Genomic DNA, 9830 nt, shown 5'->3' with positions numbered 1-9830 from the left:
ATAAAAGCTGAACAGAAAGGTTGGCCACATCCCACAAGTAATGCTTCTTTATTGTGATTCATTCAGAAACACCGAGTTCCACTGAGAAGCTGGGGATAGTCCAGAGGCAGCCTCAACCAAAACTAGCTACTTCTTTGAAATTATCATCCGAGAAATGTGCTTGAGTTTTAAGCCCCAACGGCTGGTTGCATCCCACTGGTCACTCCTGAGGTTAATATCCCTGCGCCTGTAGCACTGACTGCCTTTTCTCGAGTCCCCTGCTAACCCACCATCCAGTCTTACTTCCCTACAAAAAAAAAAAAAAAAAAAAAAAAGGCTTCTTTTTAAAAGCAAAAACCCAGAATTAATATGATGCATAAAAACTATTATAGCCGAAAGTGATGACTCACACTTGTAATCCCAGCACTTTGGGAGGCCGAGGCAGGTGGATCACCTGAGGTCAGGAGTTCCAGACAAGCCTGGCCAACATGGTGAAACCCCATCTCTATCAAAAATACAAAAATTAGCTGGGTATGGTGGCAGGTGCCTGTAATCCTAGGTATTTAGGAGTCTGAGGCAGGAGAATCGCTTGAACCTGGGATGAGGAGGTTGCAGTGAGCTGAGATCATGCCATTGCACTCCAGCCTGGGCAATAAGAGCAAAACTCCATCAAAACAAACAAACAAACAAAAAAACACACAAAAATCAAAACAAAACAAAAAACTATTATAGACTAGATTGGCCAGACAGAATGCAGCAACACAGTGGTGCTCATTGAAGGATCATGGTCATGCCAGGATTTTGCTCTCATTCCTATAAGCAGCAAAAGTTCCAGAGACATCATTCTTCTTTTTAGCCCAAGTTCACCGTACAAAAGTTTTCCTTTCTTATGTTTACCTAGAAGTTAAAAAAAAAAAGGGAAGAGGGAGATTGAAATTATTGCCATAGATTATTGGGAAAGAAACTTGAACTTGGTAAAGTCTTTTTGTAGAATAATTAGGGAGTATTCATCAAAACCTTAAAAAGTGCAGGCCCTTTAAACCAGAAACACCACTACTAGCTATTTATTCTGTGTTAATGGGCACAGAGCTAGGGATTGAGTCTACAGGGTTAAGGTGCTCCCAGTTTCATGGTAAAAATAGCAAGAGACTGTGGATTATGGACATGGCAGCCCTGTGACTGATGACCCATAGATGCAGAAAGCAGAATGCTCCAGACTCTGTCCATGAGAGGAAGGCCATGCCTAGAAAAGCCCATGGGCACCCACAGCTTTGTCACAGTGCTAACTGCATGATTCTCAGTGTGCTTTCAGGCACCCCCAAGTGCTTCATGCCACTGCTCCAGAAATGGGAAGTGGTTGGCCTTGCTGTTGGAACTAGATGAGACCTTTAAGACAAGAATCTCTAAGGGGATTCCCTGAGACCAAAACCAGACATTTCATGTAATCATGATCAGCTATTTCTCACTCTCTATCAGACCAGTGAAAATGAACAAAGTGGATGAAGGGAATCAAATAAGCCTGAACTTAATACAATGGAGTTGTATTGAGGCAGAGGCTGCCCTAAGACCCAATACAACAGAGATCTCCCACTCACTTTGTGTTTCGCCTCTTCAGAAAGCTCTCTTAGCTGAAGATATATACAAACACATACACACAGGCACTACTCATATACACTCAGACACATACATCCATGAATGTGCACAGATTCTTCTGAAACAAATACTATTTTAAAATATTAGAGGGAAATGACCTGTGCTACAGCAGCACTCTTCCTTCCAAGCCAATATTGTATTTGAGTCAGTGTCTGTGGCTCAGATGCTGTGTTACTGAGTGAGAATTTCATACGGCTGTGTGGGAAACTGGCCCATAAACATACTTGTTAAGAGCATTTAGCTTTCTGGCTCCAGCCATTCCGATGTCTGTCTTAGAATTGTGCCAGGAGCCAATGGTAGAAAAAGAAGCAGCGTTATTCAGCTTAATTGGGCAATGATTAGGACTTCCTCCAACAAAGAAAGTAAGCAGGGAAACTGTAGCTGACCTCCCTAGGGCTGTTTAGGGGTCCTGGGTCCAGGGACTACTTTATACAGGATAAATATATCTGAACTTTCCTAACCTCCCAGCCTGATTTAATTAGTAAACACCTTCAAAGGGATCAAGCTGACTTGTGAGACAAAGTCTACCGCACACTGCAAAGGTGGGCAAATAAATATTTAAAGGGCACATCCGTGTACGTGGAGGGGGGAGGGAAATAGATTAGGAACAGTAGGAAAAGATATGAGTTAACTCTGGGAGTTCTGTTGTGTAACTGCCCTTGACCTTGCCCCTTCCAGTGGCTAAACTTGCCCCTTCTCCAGGGCTTTTGTGGGTCCTCTTCACTAGACACAACCAGCCAGCCTCAGAAAGAACTATCCCCAAATATGGATTCACTTAACCTTATTATAGTTGTGGTCACAGTTCTGCTCACAGAATATTTCAATTGTCTTGAATGTCAGGGCTGAACAAGATCTATTTAAAGGTCTAGAACTAAACACTGCTATTTAGCAAACTTGTATGAACATGCAAATCACTACTAAAGTGTGTTTTGTTTTGTTTTATCTAGCAATGATATAACCTAAAGGACTGACTCATCAATGGTGGTGTTTCAGGAAACGCCAGCCGTTGTCAACTGCACCTCTGCAGAAGACCAGCCCTGTCTATAGCATTTCCAGACACTTTATGCTTTTTCAGTGGCTTTTAGCCAATTATCACATAGTTCCCCACCACATTGCGGTGGAACAGCAACTAACAAGACTTCACAGGTCACACAAAGGCTCTGAAAGAATCAAAGTGCATGCCACACAAATGAACTATCATCAGTTCCACCTCCACTGTTAACACTCTGGAGAACTTGGGATAGAGAGATTTTCATAATGGGATTTAAATCTAGGAGTCATACTTGGAATTGGAGTTCAATTCTCTGAAGTGGTTCAGATGGGAGACCAATATGAGCTTCTTAATTACTTTATTTCACATATCAGAAGGGAGATGAGGCAGGGGAGTCAAGAATACCATTCTGGGAATTCAGCACCTGCTGAATTCCAGGTATGATATTCTAGGAATGATATGCTGCTGCCCATTCACTGCCTCAGTTAATCCTCATGGCAAACCTGCAAACTATGTATTATTATTCCTATTTTGCACAGAAAGCTGAGGCTTAAGTACATCAGATGGGCTACACGCAATCCAGTCTGTTTTGTTTTGCTGTTTGATTGGTTCGTTGGTTGTTTTTGTTTGTTTATTTTGTTTTCGTTCATTTTGCTTTATCATTTACACATTGATTGTTCATTCAGCAAGAAATTGTAAAATACTCAAAGACAATAACTTTGTCTGAATTCTTTCCTGTCTATTCCCAACATTCATCTGACTCCTAGACTCATATTCATTCATTTATTCATTCAAAACATATTTATTAGACAGTAGGGACACAGCAGTGGACAAAACCAAAAAGGTGCTTGTTATTATGAAGCTTGCATTTTAACAGAGAAAGCCAATCAATTAAATAAATAAGCAAGTTAGAAGTAAGAAAGAAAGGATGGAAGGAAGAAAAGAAGGAAGGGAGAGAGGGAGGGAAGGAGCAAGAGAGAGAGGAATAAAAGAAGGAAAAAGGGAAATTATCAGAAAGTGAGGCATATCATGCAGAAAACTGAGATTGGAAGATGTGATGGAGAGAGGCTGGATGATACCTCAAATTGGGTATTCAGAACAGGATTCTCAAAAAAGGAGAAGTTCAAACTGAACCTGAATGATAAGAAAGAGGAAGCCACAGAAAATCAAGGGGAAGATATTGTAGCCAAAGAAACTACAAAACCCTGAGATGGGAAAGAACTTTAAGAGCTAAAAAAACTGAGAAAAAATGAATGTGGCTAGCGAAGGTCAGTGATTCAGAGAAAGAGTTACACAAGATGATGTCAGAGAGATGGTTAGGAGCCAGGTGACATAGGACTTCGTAAGCCACAGTAAGGATCATTCATCAAATATGTGTTGAATGAATAAATGCACAGGCCTTGGAGCACTATGAGAATGTGAGTACCAGTAGCCTTTTAAGGAATTTATACTTGAGTCAGAAAGACAAAAGAAATCCATGTCCACTCATTTAAGAACTATTTCCTGAAGCCCTGTGGCATGCTGGGCATTGTGGTTGATACAGGGGCACCAGAGTGAATAAGCCATACTCCTGGCCTTCTACCAGTTCACACATTTAAGGAAAGAGACAAGACCATGATCAGAGTAACAGGTTTTTTAATTTGAGGAAATGCTATGTGAGTACCTGGAAAACATCTAACAGCCTGGAAAAGAAGTCAAGGAAAAGCAAAGACAGCATATAAATTACAGCCAAGATAAAAAATTCAGAAATGCATTGGTCCCTGTAGGCTAGAAAGGTCAGAGAAAATTGTCACAGAGAAAATTAGACTTAAGCTGGATCTTCAGGAGCAGAACTTGTTGGTAAGAGGGAGGAATTCGAGATTGGATAACAAATGCACACAGGTTTAGATCAAAGGTCAGCATCTTGTTGAGGCATACAAACCTCCCCCAGCCTCTGCTTCTCCTAAGCAACACCTTCACTGTGCACACACATAAGCTCCCATGCTCATCCTCCCTCTCTGCTGAAACACAGCTGAAATGACCTACTATTCATCCCCTAAATTACTTGATATCTTGGTCACCGGGAAATGAAGGTCTGATTCTCATTCCAGCTACAAAGACGATGTACATCTTGCTGATGGTTGAACATCCCTCAGGATACAGAATTCCTAATTTCACCAGTTCTTCTTCCTTGGCAAAGAAATTCCTCCTTAAATGCAACAGAAGTCTACTTTATTGGTGTAGCTATTCCTTGATCCTAATTATTTTATGTTTCTTTAATCCTAATTTTAATCTCAGCAGTATGTTGGCCAACAATTTCTGGGTACGAATCATTATCACACCCTCAGAGGCATGTACAATAACCATTAATTTCTCACTTACGAAGGTATGGGCTAGCTGGGAAGGCTCTGGAACATGCTGAAGGGTGGTGGGAGGTAGCTGTGTTCCATGTTTCTCACCTTATCTGGGACCAGTGGGCCAAGTGGGCTAGGTTATTACAGTGATAGCAGAAGTATAGGAGAATGAGTGGAAACATGAGATGTTCCTTATGGGGCCAGAACTGGCACTCTATAACATCTACCTACATCTCATTGGCCAAAGCAAGCCACACATCTAATCCCAAGGTAAAGGGGAAGGAAAGTGCATGCTGCCTGTTATAAGGCTATGACAAAATGGATGCAACGGGGCAAGAATTGCAGCGAAATATTCAACCAACCACAGAAGTTACAAATTATTCAACTCACTTTTCCTACTAATTTCAGATCTCAGAAGGTGGAGTTCATGTTCCTAAAAACATCTTTACTTTTCAAACTAAGCTTTCTCAACTCCTTGGTTTTCAGAGCCTTTCTCCCCACCCTGATCTGAACATCTTTTAGTTTGTAAACATTTGTAGCCAATGTTATGAATGTTTCTAGCAATCAAATGTGGTCATAGTATTGTCTTCCAGAGTGGCTTTGCCAGTGCAAGACAATGGGTCCGTCTGTTAGGATTTGATGCCTAACAAAACATTCCAAAAGTTAGCTCACACTTCTAGAAGTCAGCTAGGCAATTCTTCTGGTCTGGATTGGGCTTGGTAATTTCATGCATCTGCATCAGCTTCAGATCAGCTAGAGATTGACTGGTCTAGGGTGACCTGGGCTAGAACAGGTGGGATCTCTCTCAACACTATTTGTCTTCTTCCAGAAGGCTAACCAGGACTTATTCACATGGCTGTATCAGCGTTCCCCGAGTTCGAGAATGGAGACTGCATGCTTGAAAAATGGGCTCAAGTGACACAACCTCACTTCAACCATATTCTAATGGCCAAAGCCAGTCATGAGGCCAAACCAGAATAAATGACAGACTGAACCTCATATAGGAGAAGCTGGAAAGTGCAGTGATCATCTCTGCAATTCCACAACAGAAGTATTCCATACTGTATGTTCATGAATGCATTGAATGTAATCAGCTTGCCTTGGGTTTTGGCCCATGCCATACTGTTAACTCACAGAGAAGTCAATGAAAAACCTTAGACTTTTTTTTTTTTTGAGACAGAATCTTGCTCTGTTGCCAGGCTGGAGTGCAGTGGCATGGTCTCAGCTCACTGCAGTCTCCACCTCCCGGATTCAAATGATTCCCCTGCCTCAGCCTCCTGAATAGCTGGGAGTACAGGTGTGCACCACCACACCCGGCTAATTTTTTGTATTTTAGTAGAGTCGGGATTTCACCGTGTTGGCCAGGATGATCTCGATCTCCTGACCTCGTGATCCGCCTGCATCAGCCTCCCCAAATCCTGGGATTACAGGTGTGAGCTACCGCACCCAGACACAACCTTAAGACTTTTAATGATGAACTATTGTCAACTAAATTCATATTACACTTGTATTTATGCAGCTGATTAGAACCAAATTGCAACCCTTCGTATTCAATTTCATCTCCATTGCTTCAGCCAGCTTTGATCCCTTCATATCTCCTCTTGTAGCAATCTTTTGATTCCTGTTTAAATCAATTGCCATATTCCGAATAACTTCTTCATGTATTTTCTTATCATAGTTGATGTAAGAAATAAATTGATATCGTATTGGTTCTATCAACAATTTAAGGACAGGGATAACCACATTTTTTAGACTTCCTGCATATCCTATGGCAGCCATCACTGTTCTGAGCACATAGCTGGTCCTCGGTTACCTCACGAAGTTACATAAGAATGAATCAATACCCAAAACAACACAATTCCAATGGGGTAAATCAGTGGTTCTTGAATTATTTTTTTTTTTTCAGTAAAGTTCTTCTTTTTAAGATAAAATATTTTATGAAAGTCCAACATGAAAGGCAGATAAACATAAGAAGACATTTCTGAAATTCTTTCTACTTAACTTTTTCCATCCTTATCTCCCATAAGATATCTGAGGCCTCCTCAGATGCCATGGAATAAAATTTGAAAAACACTGGATGAAATCAACATTTTTCAAACTTTTCAAACTTAACCCTCAGTAAGAAATGCATTTTACATAGTGACCCAGGAGACACTGACATATAGATAACTGAAACTACTGCTCTCAAGACTACTTCACCCTAAGTACAACAAAATCTCATGTTTTCTATTCTACTCACTTCATTTTTTGAAGGTCAGCCATGAACTACTAAATTGATTTTATAAGCCACTAAACAAGCAATGCCCCATAGTTGGAAACTATTAGACTAGATGATCTCTTGAAGAAGTCTTTCAAGTTTTAAACTCTATTGGCCTATGGTTCTACAGCTTCTGTATCCTCAATTTCTATTGTTTATTCCCAGGGCAGAGAAGGAGGTGATGGTCACTTCCAAAAAGAGCGGAAGTTAAGTTCTAGATAAGCCACAATCACGCTCCCCAAGTGCATGAAGACCACATAATCTCGTGAGCGTGAATAAAATCAATGGATCACTCTTAAGAGGAAAGCTCACTCTGGAGTCAGACTACCTAAGTTTAAATCCCAGTTACTCAGGCTTATTACTTAACCTGCTTGTCAATAACTACCTTCTCTGAAATTTATGCCTAATAATTGTTACCTATCATGCAGGGTCATTAATAGGATTAAATAAGATAGTGTATAATGAATGTAGCTCAGTGCCAAGAAAACATGAAGTGCTCCAAGTTCTCTAGTATTGATAGGAAGTAAACAGTTATTTTTTTTTTTGGAAGGAGTGAGCTCAATTATCAAGACCAAAGATGTATAAATTACTCCCTGCCCTCACACTCTGCTTTAATAAGCAGGGAGATGTAGGTTCAAATTCTTTCTCTGCCACTGACCAGGTGTGTGGTCTTAGATGACTCACACTTTCTGAGCTTCAAGATCCTCAGTTGTGAAATGGAAATAACAAAACCTATCTGATAGAGTTGCTAGGAGGATATTAGGAATAATGATAAAACAATGAATATAAGACACCTGACCCAGGACTTGATATATAGTAAGTGCTCAAGAAAAAGAGTGGCGGTAGAAAGAGAGAAACACCCTAACAAAATCTGGCCAAAAAAAAAAAAAAAAAAAAAAAATCAAAGTGCTTTGAAAAGCAATTGTTGATATTTTTAAATAATGAAAGAAATAATCACAGCCAGATCACATTGATTATTTTAACTGTGATGCATTGCTGTAAAATGCAGAGCCCTACTAAGAAGTTCCAGCAACATAAAATTGTGGAATTCATCACTCTATCACGTGTGTGTGTGTGTGCGTGCGTGTGTGTGTGTGAGAGAGAGAGACATCTGTTTGACTCAGAAAACACAATCATCTTCAGTGTGCCACACAGTGTGCTGAGGTTACAGGATAAACAGGGCAAGTTCCTGTCATCAAGAAACCTATACTTTATCAATATCTCATCTCCCTCTCTGTCTCTCTGAAGCTCTCTCCTCTTTTTATTTAGCACTTACTAGGTTATAGGCACTGTGTCAGGTATTTTACATCATTTCACCTAATTCTCATAGCAACCTGATCAGAGAGGATCTGTTATTCACACTTCATAGTAAAGAATCCTGAGGCCACGTAACTGTTCGGGGCAGAGCAAGGATGTGAAATCAGGTTTCTTTATTAACGCCTAGGTCCTCTATAACTTCCTATAGGAGCACAAACGTGTGATATCTTTCCTCGTCCTTCCTCGTCGTAAGGATGGCACCCTTATAACAAAAGAAAGGATGACAAGAGAAAAGCATGATAATTTTTTTAAATGAAAGTTTGGTGTGACATAAGAACCTTCAAAATGAAGACCCAATGAGCTACAGAAAACTATCCATTTTTATGCTTAGATTCAATGAAGAATGGACTGCCATGTAGAAATGTGATCAGGCAAGAGGATATGATCTAATGGTAACAGAGGGGATCTCAGCATGATCTGTCTGTTCCTATTCTTCTCGGCTTCTCTGGGTGGCATTTCTTCCTCCCAGGTTTGGGGTAGGATTCCTCCGAAATGAGAGTCTGATGACCTACTATCCAATAAGGTAGGGCAGAGAATTCCTTTTTGGCCAGCTCCTCCTCCACAGTAAGGTGGGAGAAAGTTAGTGTAGCATTTCTAGTTTCTGTCGCTGGTTCTAGGCAAAAAAGAGGAGTGGGAGCAGAAGTTCAAAAGGATCTCACTTCTATGAACTCCCTATGTCCTTCAGCTCAAAGTACTTAGCAGGCCATGGTGCCATACTTTGGGGTATCATGTTCTAAACGCCAACATTCCCAATTCTACTCCTATGAATTGATAAGCATAGATAGAAAGTTCACCAGGTATAACATAAAATACTAGCTATGTGGTGCCTCTCTGTGTAGATCATAACAGCATAGGGTAGGAGCTGAGAACAAGGATTTCAAACTTGGCTAGATCTAGGTTTGAATTCTTGTGGTACCACTTAGCTCTGTGGAGAGAGAGAGAGAGAGAATTGGATTGAAACATGATATAAAGTTTACATAAATACATACACACCATATATACACACACACACACACACACACATACATGCACATACCACCACTCCCATAGGCTCAGTGTGAAAGGTACCTTAAGAGAAGACTGAGATCTAATTCAATCTCCTTACTTTGCAGTGGAGAAAATCAACCCTCGGTGGGGACAAGGGCACAGTGGATTTCCTGCCAGTACTCCCACAGGGAGGGAGAGACTGTCACCATTGGTACCCCAAGCTCCAGCCCCTCAGCCCTGTGCTTTTCCCAGCACTGCATCCCAGGAGCCCAAATTTTCTATAAATGTGTCCAAGTTTTCAAGTGGTTACTCC

At 40.8% G+C, this 9830-nt stretch overlaps 1 long non-coding RNA gene across 1 annotated transcript in view; it reads right to left on the bottom strand.

Moving 5' to 3' along the window:
* Positions 1-669: 669 nt before the first annotated feature.
* The window catches only part of LOC124902020 (uncharacterized), a 35839-nt gene continuing 26678 nt past the window's right edge, over positions 670-9830 (bottom strand). Inside the window, exon 5 of the long non-coding RNA XR_007061107.1 lies at positions 670-876. This is a non-coding gene — a long non-coding RNA (uncharacterized LOC124902020). The remainder of the gene's footprint in view (positions 877-9830) is intronic.

Source organism: Homo sapiens, chromosome 8 (assembly GCF_000001405.40).
Source record: "Homo sapiens chromosome 8, GRCh38.p14 Primary Assembly".
Taxonomy (NCBI): domain Eukaryota; kingdom Metazoa; phylum Chordata; class Mammalia; order Primates; family Hominidae; genus Homo; species Homo sapiens.
The sequence above is the reverse complement of the archived record's forward strand: the minus strand, read 5'-3'. Positions and strand labels throughout refer to the sequence as shown.